The sequence below is a fragment of the Homo sapiens genome, chromosome 15 (assembly GCF_000001405.40).
Source record: "Homo sapiens chromosome 15, GRCh38.p14 Primary Assembly".
NCBI classification, from domain to species: Eukaryota; Metazoa; Chordata; class Mammalia; order Primates; family Hominidae; genus Homo; species Homo sapiens.
In genome coordinates, this window is record NC_000015.10 from 24,923,310 (window position 1) to 24,944,987 (window position 21,678).

The 21,678-nt window shown below is 43.1% G+C and overlaps 1 protein-coding gene and 1 long non-coding RNA gene across 86 annotated transcripts in view; both read left to right on the forward strand.

The window, feature by feature from the left end:
• Nucleotides 1-21,678, forward strand: part of SNHG14 (small nucleolar RNA host gene 14) — a 595,855-nt gene that overhangs the window by 99,702 nt on the left and 474,475 nt on the right. The window lies entirely within an intron of this gene.
• SNRPN (small nuclear ribonucleoprotein polypeptide N) overlaps nt 1-21,678 on the forward strand; it is a 155,087-nt gene that overhangs the window by 99,673 nt on the left and 33,736 nt on the right. For 11 of the 85 annotated variants that reach the window (NM_001400690.1, NM_001400692.1, NM_001400739.1 and 8 more), the window contains one exon: nt 18,966-19,153. The exons of 70 other annotated variants lie outside the window; for them this stretch is intronic. The gene's annotated coding sequence lies outside the window, so the exon portion shown is untranslated. Of the gene's footprint in view, nt 1-2,016; nt 2,150-16,168; nt 16,443-17,697; nt 17,811-18,965; nt 19,154-21,678 lie in introns of all 85 variants that reach the window. 4 more of the 85 variants (NM_001400740.1, NM_001400652.1, NM_001400712.1 and 1 more) reach the window with 4 other exon arrangements.

Below are 21,678 nucleotides of genomic sequence, written 5' to 3' on the forward strand. Positions count from 1 at the left end.
AGGTACACATCTCTCAAGGATCTGTAACTGGTAGTGGAATTCATGGATCTTCAATTCAAATGTTGCTCATGGCAGTGTTAATTATAACAACCACTTTGGTAAACTACCTGCTATTACCTACAAAACCATGTGTACCTTACACACGCACCATCCATTCTACTGTGTGGAGTAGGCCACGGAAAAGTACATGCACAGTTGATGAAAAGACATGTATTTAAATGTTTATAGCAGCATTATTTGTAATAGCCAAAACTGGAAATAAAGCAGAGTGGGTAAGTAAATGGTGGTATAGGAATTCAATGGAATTCAACTATAAATAAAAAATAATGAACTGTATCTACATGTAAAAACCTTGATGAATTTTATAAACACAAAGTTGAGCAAAATAATCTAGGCAAAAACATACTTGTCTGAGCCCATCTCTGTAACATTCAGAAGTCAGTATGACAAGTCAGGATGGTGGTTACCTGTGACAGGAGAGAGGCTGTTTTGGGAAGGGCTCACTTGGGTCTTCTCAGTTGCTGGAGTTCACTGTGATAAATTTAGGATTTGTTTCTTTTTAGTGCCGTGTATGTGTGTGTGTGTGTGTGTGTGTGTGTGTGTGTATATAAACATTTTTTTTTTTTTTTTTTTTTTTTTGAGATGGAGTCTCACTCTGTCACCCAGGCTGGATGCCTGGCTTTTTGTAGTTTAGTAGAAATGAGGTTTCAGCATGTAGCTCTGGCTGATCTCAAGCTCCTGAACTCAGGAGTCTTTCCTCCTGTACAGGAGGGAAGACCTTTCCTCTACTTTCTGAGAATTCAATAATTGAGTCCTTGAAAGAAATTGACAGTAGTCAGATTAATGGGAGAAAAGGTATACAAATTAGATATGGACACAGGGACATCACATGAAAGAAAAGCGAATATCCCAGAACCCAGTGAGATTCAGAAGCTTATGTACCCTCTTCTTAGGACAGAGGGTATAGGTGATTAGGTAACTTAGGGGAGAGTAAACAGTTTGGGGGAAAGATAAATGGACTGTCAGAAGAACAGGTAACAGCCGGTGACAAAGTCTGCGTGTGTTATCAAGGTCTACTCTCCTCTCCTGTGATAGGAGCCAATCTTCCCTGGTTAGTGAGTTTCCTGGGGAGGGGATTCATGACAATTAAGTTCCTTTTAGATAATCTGTCTTTAGATAAGGAAGCTCAGAGAAAACCTCTGCCTGTATGAGCTGCTCCCCACATAACCTCAGTTGAAAGTAATCAGCACACCAAAGCATCATATTTTGGGGTGGAGATCCTCCCGCCTCAGTCTCTCAAGTAGCTAGGACCAGAGGCATGCACCATCATGCCCGGCTACTTTTTTTTTTTTTATTTCTTGCAGAGACAGAGTCTCACCATGTTGCCTAGGCTGGTCTCCAATTCCTGACCTCAAGTGATCCTCCTATCTCTGTCTCCCAAACAGCTGGGATTACAGGCATGAGTTACCATGCCCAGGCTAGGGGTGGCATTTCCTGAACTCCTTCAGCCCTCTTGGGAAATGTGCAGGCAGGAAGAAAGAAAAGAATACCCTTGTCCACAGCCAGGTCTTGTTGAGCTTATGCTTGGCAGAATAGAACCTTACACCCAGCCACGTGAAAACTGGGATGATAAATGTCTGCATGTCTGACAGAAGGTTTGGCCTCTGATTCAGCTGTGGTGATTTTTCCATCTACTTAACTCCAAATTCTATTAGCTAGTATAAACTCTCTATTGGACTATGAACACAGTAAGTACACAATCATATGATTATTTTATCTATTGACTTAAATAGAATTGTGTATGAAGGCTGTACTGAAGTTATTCAGGGTTGAGTCAGGAAAAGCTAAATTTCAACCTCTTTTAAGAAAAATATTGATGCCTCCAAATCCATAGTATATATGTTGCTTACTAGCTTATAAAGGGCCCCTGGAAGAAAGGACATTTCCGGTGTTTTATGTCAATCATAGGAAAATAAGCTATAAGCTTTTTTTTAATTCTTTGATTCTCAAAAGTAGGATTGTGGCCAGGCATGGTGGCTCACACTTGTACAGCACTTTGGGAGGCTGAGATGGGAAGATCGCTCAAGGCCAGGAGTTCGAGACCAGCCTGGGTAACAAAGCAAGACCCCATCTCTACAAAAAGAAAAATGTATGATTGCGTCCCCCTACCACTCCCCAACACTTCCCTGGCTCCACACCCCAGTTCCTCTGCTCTCATTTCTGCTGTGTCTTACTCCATGAAGCTTTCAAAACTGCTTTTATAGAGTCCTCCTTTTCTTTTTTATAAATTTATTATTGTTGTTGTTTAATTAAAAGACAGGATCTCACTCTGTTGTGCAGTTGTGCGATCACTACAGCCTCAATCTCCAAGCGATCCTCCCATCTCAGCCTCCCCAGTGGCTGGGACCATAGGTGCATACCACCATGCCCAGCTAATTTTTTTTTTTTTTGAGACAGAGTCTCGCACTCTTGCCCAGGCTGGAGTGCAGTGGCGCGATCTCGGCTCACTGCAAGCTCTGCCTCCCAGGTTCACGCCATTCTCTGGCCTCAGCCTCCCGAGTAGCGGTAGCGCCCGCAACCACACCCGGCTAATTTTTTGAATTTTTAGTAGAAATGGAGTTTCACTGTGTTAGGCAGGATGGTCTCGATCTCCTGACCTTGTGATCCGCCCGCCTCGGCCTCCCAAAGTGCTGGGATTACAGGCCTGAGCCACCGTGCCCGGCCCACTAATTTTTAAATCTTTTTGTAGAGATGGGATCTAACTATGTTAACCAATCTAGTTTCAAACTCCTGGCATCAAGCAGTCCTTCTGTCCAAAGTGCTGAGATTGCAGGCATGAGCCACTGTGCCAGGCCCCTCATTCTTTAAATAGCTACTTTAGATTCTATTGTAAGGATATTTTAATAATTTTCCAACTTTTATTATATTGAGTAGGTGATTCCTTTTTAAATTATATATGTAAATTTTTATTTATATATTTGAATAATATGTTTACATAGTTAAAAATCAAAATATACGAAAGGCATACAGTAAGAAGTCATCTCTTTCCACCCGTAATGACAATATATCCCCTTTTGCCTGGCACAGATGCACACATAAATTATTGTCCTGACATGATTATGAATAATCCTGCTTTCTCTCAGAAGTGTGCTAGTTTGAATGATAAATTATGCAGACATTCTGCTTGTATCCCTGCTTCTTCACCATGCTGTTATATTCCTTCCAATTCAGAGGCAAATGTGATATCATTGCCTATGTGTCTTCCAGAGGAATTTTATTTATATTTTGTAAGTACATACATGGATTCTGGTTTTTTTTTTGCACTTTTTAACAAATAGATGTATCCATGCTATTTTATTTTAAATTTTTACTTTGAAACAACCTTAAACTTACAGAAGTTAAAAGAATATTAGTAGCAGGTGTGCTGGCTCACGGGTATAATCCCAGCACCGTGGGAGGCTGAGATGGGTGGATTGCTTGAGGCCAGGAGTTTGAGACCAGCCTGGGTAGCATAATGAGACCTCCTCTCTACAGAAAAAAAAAATGTAAAAGTTAGTTGGGTGTGGTGTTGCATGCCTATCGTCCCAGCCACTCAGGAGGCTGAGGCAGGAGGATCGCTTGGGTACAGGAGTTAGAGGCTGCACTAGACCATGATCACACCACTGCACTCCAGCCTGGGTGACAGAGTGAGACCCTGTTGCTTAAAAGAATATTTTAAAAAAAACCTACCCTTTATCCAGATTCACAAATACTAATATTTTTTCACATTATTTAATCAATTTTTCTCCTTCCCTCCCTCTTTCATTTCTCCCCCTTTTCTTTTTTTTTGGAGACATGATCTTGGTTTGTCACCCAGGCTGGGGTGCAATGGCATAATCATAGCTCAATGGCATTTCAAACTCCTGGGTTCAAAGAAACCTCCTGCCTGAGCCTCCAGAATAGCTGGGACTACAGTCATATGCTACCGTACCTGGCTAATTTTTAAAATTTTTTATAGAGACAGGATCTTGCCATGTTGCCTAGGCTGGTCTCAAACTCCTAGGCTCAAGTGATCCTCCCACCTTGACATCCCAAAGTGTTTTGATTACAGGCATGAGCCACCAAGCCTGGCCTCCTTTCCCTCTTTTTTTTCTCCCTCTGTTTCCCACTGCTTATAAAGTTTTTAAATTTTTTTTTTTTTTTTTTTTTTTTTTTTTTTTTTTTTTTTTTACTTTTGACCACTTTGAGAGAAGGTTGCAGACATCATGTCCCTAATGCATTTCCTGAGAACCGGGATATACGTTTGGATAATCATAGTAAAGATATTAATTCAGGAAATATAACATTTATACAATTATTTTATCTAATCTACAGGCCATAACCCAGTTTCTTCATTTGCCCCAATAATGTTTTTTATAGCTTTTTCATGTTAAATATCTTGTTTGGCACTAAGTATCTTATCAGTCTGCCATAATGTTTAATATCTTTCCTCTGAAATGGTTCCTCTGCCTGCCTTTGCCTTTCATGTGTTTGTGACTTTTGAAGCATGCATGCTAGGTATGTTACGGAATGTCCTCAGCTTGAGTCCATCTGAAGTGTTCTTAAGACTGGATTCTACTGATGCTGTTTTGGTTGGCACAACACGGTGTTTACTATTGTGGTCGTCAAAATGATGTTTTATGGCTAAACCATTCTTTCAACATTTAATCATCAAGGAAATATAAATCAAAACCACAATGAGATATCATCTCATCCCAGTTAGAATTTGCTGTTATCACAAAGACATAAAAATAAATGCTGATGAGGATGCAGATGACAGGGAACTCTCCTATACTTTTGGTGGGAATGTGAATTAGTATAGTCATTATGGAAAACAGTATGCAGAGTCCTCAAAAAACTACAAATGGAACTACCCTGTGAACCAGCAATTCCACTACTGAGTATTTATCCAAAGTTAAATCAGTGTATTGAAGAGAGAGCTGCACTCTTGTGTTCATTGCAGCATTATTCACGATAGCCAAGATATGGAATCCACCGAAGTGTTCATCAACAGACAAATGGATTAAAAAAATGTGGTGCATATACACAATGGAATACTATTTAGCCATAAAAAAAGAATGAGATCTGGACATTCACAGCAGCATGGATGGAACTGGAGGACATTATGTTAAATGAAATAAGCCAGGCACAGAAATATAAATAGCTTAAAAAGTTGACCTCATAGAAGTAGAGAGTAGAATTGTGATTAATAATCACAATTATAAATAATGGTCAGTATCAAAAAAAATTGTCATTCTACAGTGCTGCAGAACATTAGAACTTGTTTTCTCTATCTAGCTGTAATTTTCCCTCTTTTATTTTTTTTGAAACAGGGTCTTGCCCTGTCACCCAGGCATGGCATAAGCACGGCTCACTGCAGCTCAAACAATCCTCCTGCCTCAGCTTCTGGAGTAGCTACAGGCACATGCCATCATGCCTAGCTATTTTTTTTTAATTTTCTATAAAGGTGGGGTCTTGCCATGTTGCCCAGGCTAGTCTCAAACTCCTGGCCTAAAACAATCTTCCTGCCGTGGTCTCCCAAAGTGCTAGGATTACAGGTGTGAGCCATCACTCCCAGCTCCAATTTTTAGATACTGACCCCATTTAGATACATGACCTCAGAACACATTCCAAGCTCATGTTGTATCTCTCTTGTCCCCACTATTAAATCAGCTGTGTTTTTTCCAAGGAATCCTGATTTCTATTGTGGAGAAGCGTACTTAGAAACCAAGGTCTTGGTGCTACTGGTATGTTATTGCTTTTAGGCCCTTCCAGATATACGGGATATAAAGATATAGCTATATGTATGTGACTATATGTATTGTGTATATATGTATGTAGCTATATGTGTGTATGTGTATATATATCTTCATGTATTTATAGTGATATTTTCCATCCCAATCTACACCGCAGGGTTTTTCCTTGCCTTCCTATTTGTAGAGCTTCCTTCCACATTAAGAACCCTCTCTCCCAGTGAGTGTCACCCCATTTCTGTTTCATCTCTTTCCCTACTCTCCCCCTTGCCTCCTAGGGTCCCCTTTCCTCTCATCAGTTGCCAGACAAGAGGAGCATCATCATACACACATCATAGATTTAATATTAAACTTTTAAAATTTTCAGATAAATGTAAGCAGGCTTCTGCAGTGAAAGGGGCCAGGTCTAGGAAGATGGGGAATACTTGCAGGCACCTGGGAAGCTCAGGGAAGCTGCAGGTACCCTGTCAGTTGGGTGTCCCCTCATGAGGGTGGCAGACTGTCTCCTTGAGTTCTGGGTGGCAGAAATGGCCCAGGGCCCTGGGCTGAGACCCAGCCAACTCTCTATGGGGCTGCCACACGACTTCCTAAAAAGGCATAAACACATTTTCTTCCAAGTGGAGTCCAGCATATTTTATTTTCCTGTTGAATGGTAGACAGCATGAGAGCAGGGTCCATGTGATGATTTTTCTGTCAGTATCAGTTTCTGCAAGAGCAAAAATTACATATTTTTATTTTTCAAATAAAATCAATTGAGACAGTAACAAATTTGCTCAAAGAATCAACCTGAACACATGTACATCTATTATGTATCAATAAAAAAATGGCCAGGCACGGTGGCTCACACCTATAATCCCAGCACTTTGGGAGGCCAAGGCGGGTGGATCACGAGGTCAGGAGATCAAGACCCTCCTGGCTAACGCGGTGAAACCCTGTCTCCACCAAAAATACAAAAAATTCTCTGGGCGTGGTGGCAGGTGCCTGTAGTGACAGGGCGAGCTTGCAGTGAGCCGAGATTGTGCCACTGCACTCCAGCCTGGGTGACAGAGCGAGACTCCATCTCAAAAATAAATAAATAAAAATAATAAATTTTTTTCTAGATAAAAAATATAAAAATTACACCACAGTCCAAAAAAAAAAAAAAAAAAACTGTTCAAGACTGATCTTTCATAGTGATTGGGTCTATGAGTAAATGTTAAATAGATGATTTATTAGGTTTCTTTTTATTTCAATGATGAGATGGAGAAATATATTATTTTACATGAGGGCAAAAAATATTTTATGCATAGATATTTTTTATTTTGCCTATGTCCTTAAATTCTCAGAATATAGATTATTGCCTTCAGAAATCTGTCTAGGTTCACCTATACCTTATTAGAACTCAGCTTTGCTGGCTGTGGTACACCTGTAATCCCAGCACTTTGGGAGACTGAGAAGGGAGGATCACCTGAGCTCAGGAATTTGAGACCGGCCTGGGAAACATAGGGAAACCCTGTCTCTACAAAAATACAAAAAAAAAAAAAAAAAAAGTCTGGGTGCAGTGGCTCACGCCTGTAATCCCAGTAAATCCCAGTACTTTGGGAGGCCGGGCCGGGTGGATCCCGAGGTCAGGAGTTCAAGACCAGACTGGCCAACATGGTGAAACCCCGTCTCTACTAAAAATAAAAAATTAGCAGGGCATGGTGGTGAGCATCTGTAAGCCCAGCTACTCGGGAGGCTGAGGCAGGAGAATTGCTTGAACCTGGGAGGTGGAGGTTGCAGCGAGCCAAGATTGTGCCACTGTACTCCAGCTTGGGCGACAAAGCAAGAGTCTGTCTCAGAAAAAAAAAAAAAAAATTAGCCAGGCATGGTGGTGCACACCTGTAGTCCCAGCTACTCAAGAGGCTGAGGTGGGGAGCCCTAGTGGGTGCAGTGAGCCAAGATCACACCACTGCACTCCAGCCTGGGCGACAGAGTGAGACTCTGTCTCAAAAAACAAAAAAGTGAGCTTTAATAAATTCTATAAAACTTTTTTCTAGTTGAGAGTACGTTACTACAAGCTAACTTTTAAAAAAGTCATATTATTTGATTACTAGGAACTTTGCAATTAGTTTTGCTTCTTCTGGTTTTTATTTTTGCCTGGCACAACATTTCCTTCCTTGGCCCCTGTCTGTATTAATAATGCTGCCAGGATATACTGAATGATTTTATTCCAGTTTTTTCTACCTTAATTATGTTAAAGAAAAACAAAAGCTGGGTATTAGTTATAGTGGTAAGGACACATTTTAATCACTAATAACTATTGTAATCGTGAAGAAAGTCCAGCATGAACTGAACTCAACTTTGGTGTGTACAGAGGTGACTGGGTATTTTAAAGGAAGAATGAAGCTGGGTGTCTACTGGACACTGGAATGAAGCTACTGCAGAGGCTGAGGCAGAAGGATTGCTTGAGCCAGGGGTTTGAGACCAGCCTGGGCAATACATCAAGACCTAGGCTGGGCGGGGTGCCACACGCTTGTAATCCTACACTTTGGGAGGTGGAGGGGCGGGGGGTGAATGGCTTGAGTTCTGGAGTTCGAGACCAGCCTGGGCAACATCGTGAAACACTGTCTCTACAAAAATACAAAAATTAGCAGGGAATGGTGGCACATGGCTGTAGTCCCAGCTACTCAGGGGGCTGAGGTGGGAGAATCCCTTGAACTTGAGGAGACAGAGGTTGCAGTGAGCCAAGATCTCACCACTTTACTGTAGCCTGGGTGACAGAGTGAGAACCTGTCTCAAAAAAAAAAAAAAAAAAAAAAAAAAAAAAGACTTTGCTTCACCCACAAAGGGAAAATCAGGGAATAGGAGGGAGTTGAGTTGTGGGGTAGGGTATGCTCAGTTGAGTCAGAGAAGTAAAAATTTACCAAAAGTGGTGGTTCCATGTAAAACCTACCTGGGATTGCTAACTGGTGCTGTTTGAAGTTAGACTATGACCCTCGCACAGAGGCCAGGAGACAGGGGCCCTATCTTCTGCTGTTGGCTGGAACAAAGAGTAAATTCATTTGGGAGGCTTCACTTTTTTCAGGCAGGCTATTTAAGGGGGATACAGTCAACCAGGGGATATGGCCTTGAGATGCTAGAATCTATGTTAGTATTTTGTTCAAATATTTATAGGCCAGGGTTAAGACTGACTTTGTTTCTTTGTTTTTTGAGATGGAGTTTTGCTCTTGTTGCCCAGGCTGAAGTGCAATGGTGCGATCTTGGCTCACTGCACCCTCCGCCTCCTGGGTTCAAGTGATTCTCCTGCCTCAGCCTCCCGAGGAGCTGGCATTACAGGTGCTCGCCACCACGACTGGCCAATTTTTGTACTTTAGTAGAAACGGGGTTTCACCATGATGTCCAGGCTGGTCTTGAACTCCTGACCTCAGGTGATCCGCCTGCCTCAGCCTCCTGAAGTGCTGGGATTCCAGGCATGAGCCACTGTGCCCAGCGTAAGACCTAGTTGAGAAGGCAGCTCAGAGGAACCTGGCTAGAGTTTGGTCAAGAAGACTATCTCTGTCAATCATAATGTGTATTCCACCAATAAGAGTCATTGAGTCTGTAAATGTTTTTTTTTTTTTCCTTTGAGACAGAGTTTCACTCTTGTTGCCCAGGCTGGAGTGCAATGACACAATCTCGGCTCACTGCAACCTTGGCCTCTCAGGTTCAAGTGGTTCTCTTGCCTCAGCCTCCAAAGTAGCTGGGATTACAGGCATGTGCCGCCACACCCAGCTAATTTTGTATTTTTAGTAGAGATGGGGTTTCACGATGTTGGTTAGGCTGGTCTGGAACTCCTGACCTCAGGTGACCCACCTGCCGCAGCCTCCCAAAGTGCTGGGATTACAGGCGTGAGCCCCCATGCCTGGCCAAGTCTGTAATCTTGATTGAAAGTTTACTTTTGACTGGGCATGGAGCTCATGCATGTAATCCCAGCGCTTTGGGAGGCTGGGGCAGGAGGATTACTTGAGTCCAGGAGTTTGAGACCAGCCTGGGCAACACAGGGAGACCTCTTCTCTACAAAAAATAAAATTAGCCGGGCTTGGAGGTGCGTGCTGATAGTCCTAGCTACTTGACAGACTGAAGTGTGAGGATCACTTGAGCCTGGGAAGTTGAGGCTGCAGTTAGCCAAGATCCATGCCACTGTGCTCTAGCCTGGGCGACAGAATGAGACCCTGTCTCAAAAAAACAAAAAGAAAAGAAAAGTTGACTTTTTGCCAGCTGTTAGGAAAACATCTGTGGCTCTGGAGGGCGGCTGGTTTAAAGAAAAAAAAAAACAATCAGACATACCTGATATCTACAAGAGGATAATGAGCTTAGTATGGTGTGTGTAGGAGCCTAGAGGAGAGAGGCTGGGAGGGGATTCTTGGGGAAAACGGTGGTTGAGTTGGGGTTCAGAGGCAAGCCCCTAGGTCTTAGGCTGGGCACGGTGGCTCATGCCTGTAATCCCAGCACTTCAGGATGCTGAGGTGGGCGGATCACCTGAGGTCAGGAGTTCGAGACCAGGCTGGACATCATGATGAAACCCTGTTTCTACTAAAAATAGAGGAGAATTTGATGGCCATTCACAGTCAAGGGAACTGAACACATCAAAGGGATTGCCAGAAGGGCAGAAGTCCTGACTTACAGGTATAAGGAGAAACAGAAGAGGAGACAAGGTGTGGGGTCTACCAGGTGGGCAGGCCCATTGAGTAGAGGGTACATGGCATTCATTGAAGGATTTTCATCAAGGCAGTCTTCTGGTAAGATACGGGGAAGTCCACAGGCTAATTGGAAAACAGAAAGAATGAGATCATGGAGACAAATTTAGGGACTGACTCCGTCTGTATTAATTTATACCAGGGGTCAGCCAAGTGCAACCTGTGGCTAAATTTGGACTGCTATGCATACATGTATGGCTTGTGAGCTAACAAAGTTTTTTATGGTTTTAAATACTTGAGCCAGGTGCGGTGGCTCACACCTGTAATCCCATCACTTTGGGAGGCCGAGGCGGGCGAATCACCTGAGTTTGGGAGTTCGAGACCAGCCTGGCCAACATGGTGAAACCCCGTCTCTATTAAAAATACAAAAATTAGCTGGGTGTGGTGGTGCATGCCTGTAGTCCCAGCTACTCAGGAGGCTGAGGCAGGAGAATCATTTGAACCTGGGAGGCGGAGGTTGCAGTGAGCCGAGATCATGCCATTGCACTCTAGCCTGGGCAACAGAGTGAGACTCTGTCTCAAAAAATAAAATAAATAAATACTTGAAAAAAGCAAAAGAATAGCATTTAATAAAAATTATATAAGATTCAAATTTCACGGTCCATAAGTGAAGTTTTATTGGAATACACTCATGCCCACTTGTTTACATATTGTCTGTGACTGCTTTCACACTTCACACTACAAAGGTTGAGTAGTTGTGAGTGATCGTCCTCAAAGCCTAAAATATTTACTCTCTGGCTCTCCTCTCTACAGAAAAAGGCTGCTGATCTCTGCCTGATTCATTGATTGATTATTATTTGAAATGGGGTTTCACTCTGTCATCCAGGCTATAAAGCAGTGGCGTCATCTCAGCTCACTGCAACCTCCACCCGCCGGGCTCAAGCAATCCTATCTCAGCCTTCTGAGTAGCTGGAAGCAGAGGCGTGTGCCTCCGCTCCCAGCTAATCTTTTGTATTTTTGGTAGAGACGGGGTTTCACCATATTTCCCAGGCTGGTCTTAAACTCCTGAGCTCAAGTGATCTGCCTGCCTCAGCCTCCCAAAGTGCTGGGATTATAGGCATGAGCCACCGTGCTTGGCTGACCTCTGATTTATATGGCCAGATGGGGGCAGGTACTCAGTTGCTTGTGCATATTTTGTTGGGAGATCACAAGTTAGCAAGATAAAAGTGCTTTCATCACAGAGGTTTCAGTCTAGTAGAAGTTAAATTTTTGTGCCGGGTTCAGTGGCTCACACCTGTAATCACAGCACTTTGGGAGGCCGTTGCAGGCCGGTTGCCTGACCTCAGGAGTTCGAGACCAGCCTGGGCAACACAGTCAAACCCCATCTCTACTAAAATACAAAAATCTAGCTGGGCATGGCAGCATGCCCGTATAGTCCCAGCTACTCGTGAGGCTGAGGCAGGAGAATTGCCTGAACCCGGGAGGTTGAGGTTGCAGTGAGCCGAGATCATGCCGCTACACTCCAGCATGGGCAACAGAGCGAGACTTTGTCTCCAAAAAAAAAAAAGTTCGATTTTTGTTTAATAGGTGAGATCATATGAAACATAAATATAAGTACTGATGTAGGGATTGTGCTTTGTGAATGGGTCTCTGCCTGCAAAACATTCCTGAGAAGCTTTCTGAAGGGTTCAAGCTGAGAACAGAAGGATGGAGAAAGAGATTCTGTAAGTTAGGAGGCAAGAATCTGAGCTAAGATTTGGATGTGACAGGACCATGAGTGGATAGGGAATGTTTTGTTTCTTGAGTGGGAAGTGGGAAGCATTTTGGGAACAAGGTAAGGAAGAGAGAGGAGGCTGCAGTGTTTTTAAGGAGTCCTGCCCACGCCAAGAAGTCTGGACTGGAGGTCATTTGCTTTAAACATGTCATCTCAAGCATGTGTGATCTATTTGGAGCAAATATAATCAAGGGAAGTTTTAAACAGGAGAGTTTTCAGAGCAGTGGAGTCTGAAAAGTTGCCCTAAAATAAGGTTGAGCATAAGAAAGTCCTTCTTGCTTCTGGAAAAAGTGGACTATGGGTGCTCACTCTTTGGGGCCAGACAGAGAAGAATTAAAAATCATGGGCTGGGTGCGGTGGCTCACCCCTGTAATCCCAGTACTTTGGGAGGCCAAGGTGGGTGGATCACGAGGTCAGTTCAAGACCAGCCTGGCCAACATAGTGAAAACCACGTCTCTACTAAAAATACAAAAATTAGCTGGGCATGGTAGCGCATGCCTGAAGTCCCAGCTACTTGAGAGGCTGAGGCAGGAGAATCACTTGAACCCAGGAGGCGGAGGTTGTGGTAAGCCGAGATCATGCCACTGCACTCCCGCCTGGGCAACAGAGCAAGACTCTGTCTCAAAAAAAAAAAAAAATTGTGTTATTTCTCCCTTTTGCACCTAATCTCCCACTGAAGATGACTGCAACTTTCCTGTGAATTCTGAACCTGCTGCCAAAAGATACTTCTTTATATTCCATGATTTTGTGTAAAACTTTGTGGTGAGAATTAGAGAAAGCTTAATTTGCTGCTTGGCATCCAGAATTAGGAGGCCAAGTTAGGCTCCCATGTTAATTTTCAGAAAGCCCATGTTCCTGATATCTGGTAGGGATGGCGGTGCTGAACTGTGAAGGTGTTGGAAACCAGAATTTTGGCAGAAACGGAGTCAGATTTGAACATGGTACAAATTTGGACCAAGGGCCTAGTGATAGTTAGGTCAGGAAATTGGGGACTGTATTGGTCCATTCCTGCACTGCTATAAAGAACTACCCGAGCCTGGGTAATTTATAAAGAAAAGAGGTTTAATTGGCTAATGGTTCTGAAGGCTCTAAAGGAATCATGGCTGGGGAGTCCCTAAGAAACTTGCATCATGGCAGAAGGCAGAGGGGAGTCAGGCACATCTTTACATGGCAGAAGCAGGAGAGAGAGAGCAAGGGGAGGAGGTTCCACACACTTTCAGACAACCAGATCTTGTGATATATCACAAGAAGAGCACCAAAGGGGAAATCCACCCCTGTGATCTAGTCACATCCCACCAGGCCCCACGTCCAACATTGGGGATTACAATTTGACATGAAATTTGGATGGGGGCACAGACTCAAACCACATCAGGGACCAAAGAAATATTTTACTTATTTTCAGTTATCAATGGAATTTACTGCTGATGAGAAATAAATGTATCTTGCCAGTAACTTATAAAGTAATAAAACCGGCCAGGTGCGATGGCTCACGTGTGTAATCCCAGCACTTTGGGAGGCTGAGGTAGGTGGATCATGAGGTCAGGAGATCGAGACAATCCTGGCCAACGTGGTGAAACTCTCTCTACTAAACATACAAAAATTAGCTGGGCATGGTGGTGCGTGCCTCTAATTCCAGCTACTTGGGAGGCTGAGGCAGGAGAATCACTTGAACCAGGGAGCCGGAGATTGCAGCAAGACGAGATCATGCCACACCACTCCAGCCTGGCGACAGAGCGAGACTCCGTCTAAAACAAACAAACAAACAAAAAAATCAAAACAATTTCCCTAGAAATGTATAATTATTGACACTTTTTAGTATTTAAAAAATTTTCAGTGATACCCTGTATTTACAAAACAAAACAAAACAAAAAAAACGAAAAAGCAAGACAAAAACAAAACAGGCATGGTGATGTGCACCTGTAGTCCCAGCTACTCAGGAGGCTGAGGTGGGAGGACTGCTTGAGCCTAAGAGTTCAAGCCATGATCTCACCACTGTACTCTAGCCTGGATGACAGAGCAAGACTGTCTCTAAAAATTTTTTTAATTAAAAAAAAATTTCATCTTGACTTGCTTTTCATGTGAATCTAGTGTATTTGCTACTTTTTGATAATGCTTTGCACTTTTTAAATTGTAAAAACATTACATAAAATTTTCATCTTACCCGTTTCAGGGGCACTAAGTGCATTCACATTGATGTGCAACCATCACCACTGTCTAGCTCTAGAACTTTTTGTCTTACAAAACTGAAAATTGCCCATTAAATAATAACTCCGTTTCCTCCTCCCCACACCCCATCCCCTGGCAACCACCATTCTACTTCCTGTCTCCATGACATTTGATTAGTCTGGATATCTCGTATAAATGGAATCATACAGTATTTGTCCTTTTGTGACAGGCTTATTTCATTCTGTGTAGTGTTTCCAAAATTCATCCATGTTGTAGCATGCATCAGAATGTACTTCCTTTTTGAGGTTGAATGATACTCCATTGCATGTATGCATTACATTTTATTTATTAATCCATCAGTGGATGTTTAGGTTGCTTCTGCCTTTTGGGTAATGCAAATAATGCTGCTATGAACATGGGTGTGCAGATACCTCTTTGAGTTTCTGCTTCTAATTCGTTTTTTTTTTTTTTGAGCTGGAGCCTTGCTCTTTCGCCCAGGCTGGAGTCCAGTGCCACGCCATGATCTCGGCTCACTGCAACCTCCACCTCCCAGGTTCAAGCGATTTTCGCTTGATTCTCCTGCCTCAGCCTCTCAAGTAGCTGGAATTACAGGCTCAAACCAACACACCAGGCGAACTTTTTATATTTTTGGTAGATTGGGGGTTTCACCATGTTGGCCAGGCAGGTCTCAAACTCTTGAACTCAAGTGATCCACCCACCTTGGCCTCCCAAAGTGCTGGTATTACAGGTGTGAGCCACCATGCCTGGCCTTCTGCTTCTAATTCTTTTAGATATAACCTTGAAGTGACAGTGCTAAATCTAGCACTGTCTGGTCTTGAACTCCTGACCTCAAGTGATCTGCCTGCCTTGGCCTCCGAAAGTGCTGGGATTACATGTGTGAGCCACCATGCCTGGCCAATTGAAGATTTTTATTACTTACATTTTCCCAGAAAGGGGGCATGCCACACTACACCACATCACGTGAGGAGCACTAGGTTTTGGTCAGGAGGCAGAAGATAGGAGTGAAGGGAAAAATCTAGGGCAAAGCCTTTACTGGGGACTCCAAGGGAAACACAGGGCAGGTTTGAGCATAGGATGGGTTAGTTTAAATAATTCTGGTTGGCTTTGGGCTACAGGGATGGTCTCTAGTGACTTGGTTTGTGCCCTGGGTATATAGAATATGGGAAATAGTGGCCAGCGAGAGTTAGCTAAGGAGTTGGCTGGGCTACAGACTGGGATTGGTTGTTTGGCATATGAAAGACATGCTTATAGACAAATTGTTATTATATTCGAGAATTAGCTAGCTTTGGGAAGGACATTCTCTCCCATGATTTGCAAGGCCCTCAAAAGCCAGAGCAACAAAAATACAGAAAATAAGATATAGTTAATATAATTGGCTTGGTGATGAACGGATCCCAAATAGTCAAACACAGAAGCTAAGAAAACCCAGAACACATGGTAATTCTTCTGTTGCATTTTTTTTAGGAAACCACATAGTGTTTTGCATAGTGGCTGTAAAAATTTTCCATTCCTACCAACATTATACAAGGTTTTCAATTCCTCTGGTCTTCACCATGACTTACGTTCTGTTTCTTCTGTGTTTTATAGTAGCCATCCAAATGGGTGTGAAGTGGTATCTCACTGTGATTTTGATTTTGATTTTGATTTCCCTGATGATTAGTGATGCTGAGCATCTTTGGATGTGCTTCTTGGCCATTTGTATGTCTTTGGAGAATTCTTATTAAGACGTTTGCCCATTTTTATGTATGTATATATGTATGTATTTATTTATTGAGATGGAGTCTCTTTCTGTTGCCCAGGCTGGTGTGCAATGGCCCAATCTCGGCTCACTGCAACCTCCGTCTCCTGGGATCAAGCAATTCTCCTGCCTCAACCTCATGAGTAGCTGAGATTACAGATGTGCACCACCATGCCTGGTCAATTTTTGTATCTTTAGTAGAGACGGGGTTTCACCGTGTTAACCACGCTGGTCTCGAACTCCTGACTTCGAATGATCCACCCACCTCGGCCTCCCAAAGTACTGGGATTACAGGCGTGAGCCGCTGCACCTGGCTTGGCCCATTTTAAAATCAGGTTTTTTTTTTTTTTAAAGTTGATTATAGAATTCTTCTTTTTTTTTTTTTCTTTTTGATACAGAGTCTCACTCTATCGCTCAGGCTGGAGTACAATGGTGTGATCTTGGCTCACTGCAACCTCCACCTTCCGGGTTCAAGCAATTCTCTTGCTTCAGCCTCACAAGTAACTGGGATTACAGACGTGTACCACCATGCCCAGCTAATTTTTGTATTTTTATTAGAGATGTGATTTCACCATGTTGGCCAGGCTGGTCTCAAACCATTGGCCTCCTGTGATTCACTCACCTTGGCCTCCCCAAATGCTAGGCTTACAGGCATGAGCCACTGTGCCTGGCTGAGGAGTCTTATATCTATTCGGACTATTAACATCTTATCAAATATATGATTTGCAAATATTTTCTCCCATTCTGTGTGTTGCCTTTTCACTCTGTTGATTGTGTCCTTTGATGCACAGAAGGTTTTGATTTTGATATACTCCAGTTTATCTATTTTTGTGTTTCCTTAGCTTTTGGTGTTGTAGTCAAGAAATCATTGCCAAATGCAATGTTATGAAGCGTTTTTTCCTGACAGTTTTATAGCTTTAGGTCTTATATTTAGGTCTCTGATCCATTTCAAGTTCATTTTTGTATATGATGTAAGGAAAGGGTCCAACTTCATTCTTTTGCATGTGGATATCCAGTTTTCCCAGTACCACGTGTTGAAAAGGCTGTCCTTTCCCCATTGAAGGTCTTGGCACAATTGTTGAAAATCATTTGACCATATGGAAGAGTTTATTTCTGGGATCTCTATTCTATTCCAGTTGTCTATGTTTTGCATTCTTTTTAAAAAATATTTTTAGTCTTTACATTTCAGAATCAGTATTTCAAATGTGACTTGTAGGACTACGTGCAGTGAGGAAGATTGTTAATCATCCTATTCTGACCAGGAGTTCTGACAACTTTGGTGCTGTAGGCGGTGTCTAAGGCAGGTGTCAGCAAATTTTCCTCTAAAGGAGCTGTGTGTGTGTGTGTGTGTTTGTGTGTGTGAGTGAAAAAGAGGTGAGATTTATTTTAAATTTATTTTAAGAAATTGGCTTACATGATGGTACAGTCTTGCAAGTCAAAAATCTGCAGACTAGGCTGGCAGTCTGGAGACCCAGGGAAGAGTTGCGGTGTTAAGTGTTAAGTCTGAAACTAGTCTGAAGGCAGAATTCCCTCTCTTCCTCAAGAGATCTTAATCTGTTTTCTTTTGTTTTTGTTTTTGTTTTGAGACAGAGTCTCACAGCCCAGGCTGGAGTGCAGTGGCACAATCTTGGCTCGCTGCAACCTTCGCCTCCCAGGTTCAAGCGACTCTCCTACCTCAGCCTCCTGAGTAGCTGAGACCACAGGTGCACACTACCATGCCTGGCTAATTTTTGTATTTTTAGTAGATACGGGGTTTTAACATGTTGGCTAGGCTGGTCTTGAACTCCTGAGCTCAGGTGATCCATCTGCCTTGGCCTCCCAAAGTGCTGGGATTATAGGCGTGAGCCACTGCACCCGGCCTAACAATGACATTTTATATACACACAGGCACATACACAAACCTATTTATAAAAGATGAAATACTCAAGACAATTACAGTTCTGATTTCTGTAACTGGTCAGGTGGTCACAGCTCATATTTGTAATTACCTTTGTCTACTACTCATTATGTATTTCCATTGTCCTCAGCAAGCACCACGGCTGGTTGTGATTATTTATCTGGTGGGGTGACCCAAACCTTTGATTTCTGAAGGGTCTAGGCCAGTCATAGTCCTGCCTGAATTTCGTTGTTAGAGTTTTCCATGGGCTTTGGTCACAGAGCTTGGTTAATCCTGAAATACCCTAAGGGATCCCTTGTACTTCATATGTATTCTTCCTTACTTCCTTTGTGAAGCAGAAGTCCAGTTTCTCCTTGGTAATCAGGATGAGTGGCACTAGCCAGCACAACAATTCCCTTCTTTGTTGATTCAAAGGCATGAGGAGCCTAAAAGGGTTAGATGGCAGTTTTTTGTTTTTATTTATTTATTTATTTATTTATTTTTTAGACAGAGTCTCACTCTGTCACCCAGGCTGCAGTGCAGTGGCGCAATCTCAGCTCACTGCAACCTCTGCTGCCCGGGGTTCAAACAATTCTTCTGCCTCAGCCTCCCCAGTAGTTGGGATTACAGGTGCCTGCCACTGTGCCCAGCTAATTTTTGTATTTTCAGTAGAGATGGGGTTTCACCATCTTGGCCAGGCTGGTCTTGAACTCCTGACCTCGTGATCCACCCACCTTGGCCTCCCAAAGTGCTGGGATTACAGGCATGAGCCACCGTGCCCGGCCTAGATGGCAGTCCTAACTTCTACTTCAGTCCAATTACTGCTATATCTACTGATGGAAATATTCCTGCTGTTGGAACTAAGACTGCCAGACCAGAAGAGTATGAGATCATGGGGACAGGAAACACAAATTTTGCTAGTTGGTCAACTAGGGATATTTGTGGAGGGCTGCCACTCCCATTTCTATCTTTTGGTTTCTAGACTTGTCAACCCCGACTATGGGAGAAACAGCAATATATTGGACACTGACTCAGACAGTATACAGCCTCCTGAAAAGCCTTACCCCAGTCCTGTAAAGTATTACCAAATAGCTGGTACTGTAACTGAATCTTCAAAAGGCCTTTCCACCATTCTATGAAATCATCTGCCTTAGGATGGCGGGGAACATGGTAAGACCACCAAATTCCATGAGCATGGGCCCATTGCTGCATTTCCTTTGCTATGAAGTGAGTTCCTTGGTCAGAAGCGATGTTGTTTGGAATACTATGATAGTGGTTAAGGCATTTTGTGATTTTACAGAGGGAACTTTTGACAGAAGCATTGCATGCAGTGTAAGCAAATCTGTATCCAGAGTAAGCATCTGTTCTAGTCAGGACAAAACACTGGCCCTTCCATGATGGAGGGGATTCAGTGTAATCAACCTGCCACCAGGTAGCTACCTGATCACTGTGGGGAATGGTACCATAGTGGAGACTCAGTGTTGGTCTCTGCTGAGGGTAGATTGGGCACTCAGTGGTGGCCATAGTTAGGTTGGTCTTGGTGAATGGGAGTTCATGTGGCCAAACCCATGCGTAACCTTCATCCCTGCCATCATGGCCACTTCGTTTATAATCCCATTGGGCAATGACAGAAAAATGAGCCTGACTGTACATATGAAACAGGTCACCCTATCCACTTTGTCATAAAAATCCTCCTCTGCTGAGTGGGCATTCACATGGCCACAAATGTCTTTACCTTTTTTTTTTTTTGGGGCTGATTTAGAGGGGTCTATCTATAAGTCCATCTATCTCTTCCCAAGGCTTCCTTGTCACCAATTTTCCAATCATGCTCCTTCCACATTACTGACCAGCCAAACCATTGACCACGGCCTATAAATTGGTATATAATTGTATATCTGGCCATATGTCCTTCCAAACAAAATAAACAACCAGGAACACTGTCCCAAGCTTTACCCACTGGGAGGATTTGTCTTCACCACTCTTCTTCAGGGAGGTCTTCAGAAAGGCTCTGTAGTGCAGCAGTTGTCCACTTCTGGGTGGTATGTGCATGTTTTGTAGAACCATCTGTAAACCAGGCCTGAGTCTTCTCTTTTTCCATCATCTGATTGAAGGGAACCCCCCATGAGCCATAGGTGCAGCTGGGATAGAGAAAGCAGTGTAGCAGGAGTGGGGGCCGTGGACATTTGAGCCACTTCTTCATGTGACTTAGTTGTGTCTTCAGATCATGTTCTGGCTGTGTAGGCTTAACTTTACAGCTGGGCTGGTAAGATAACACCCAGTTCATGAAGGGCAGCTTAGGTTACATGGTAACTTGGTGTCCTATGGTTAAGCCTTTAGTCTCCACTAATGCCCAGTAGCAGGCCAACAGCTGTTTCTCAAAAGGAGGGTAGTTAACTACAGAGGATAGCAGGGCTTTGCTCCAATATCCTAAAGGCCTATGCTGCAACTTACCAATGGGGGCCTGCAAAAAGCTCCAAAAGACATTACTGTCTGCTACTGACACTTCAAGCATTATTGGTTCTTTTTTTTTTAATTTTTTTATTTTTCGAGACAGGGTCTCGCCCTGTTTCCCAGGCTGGAGTGCAGTGGCATGATCCTGGCTCACTGCAGCCGCTGTCTCCCAGGTTCAAGCAATTCTCATGCCTCAGCCTCCTGAGTAGCTGGGATTACAGGGGTGCACTACCATACTCAGCTAATTTTTGTATTTTTAGTAGAGACGGGGTTTCACCACGTTGACTAGGCTGGTCTTGAACTCCTGACCTCAAGTGATCTATCTGCCTCAGCCTCCCAGAGTGCTGGGATTACAGGCATGAGCCACCACACCTGGCTGCATCATTGGTTCTTGCAGAATCATGTGACCATAGAGGCAGAGAAATTTATGTTGCAGCCTGGACCTGTTGCAGAAGCTTCTGTTGTTTTGGGATCCACTCAAAACTACAGCTTTTCAGGTCATTAATGTAGCACATGAGCTGGGTGTTTGAATCCCTGAGCTAATTTTCCCCCTACTTTGTTCAGTGAAATTAGGTGCAACTAGACAGTCTCATTATACTTGTTAGTTTGACAAAATGTTTGAAGGTATCATACATGTTAACCCAGAACCTTGCCTTTTATACTTATTTAATTTAAAGTATCTGGGCTGGGCGTTGTGGGATCCCAGCACTTTGGGAGGCCAAGGTGGGTGGATCACCTGAGGTCAGGAGTTCGAGAGTGGCCTGGCCAACATGGTGAAATCCCATCTGTACTAAAAATACAAAAAGCAATTAGCTAGTGTTCTTTTGATTACTCGTAATTAATGCCTTTAAATCTAGTTAGTTTAGAGTACCAATTTCAGAAACCAACCCCAGAACTAATTCAGAAAATTTATTCTTAAGATCTGGTTCAGGTAGAGCTACTCTTGCTACCGAAATCTGTGTGTGTTAGGGTTCTCCAGAAAAACAAAATGAACTAACAGGATGTGTATAGTCTCAGTCTCTGTTTCTCTTTCTCAGAATTGGTCATGTGGTTATGGAGGCTGGCTAGTCCAAAATCTTCAGAGCAGGCTATGGATTCAGGGAAGAGTTGATGTTGTAGCTCTAGACCAAGGGCAGTCTGGAGAGAATTTCATCTTCTTTTTCTTTGGTTTGTTTTCTCTTATGGGTTTCAATTGAATGGATGAGGTCCACCCATATTAAAGAAGGTATCTGCTTTACTCAAAG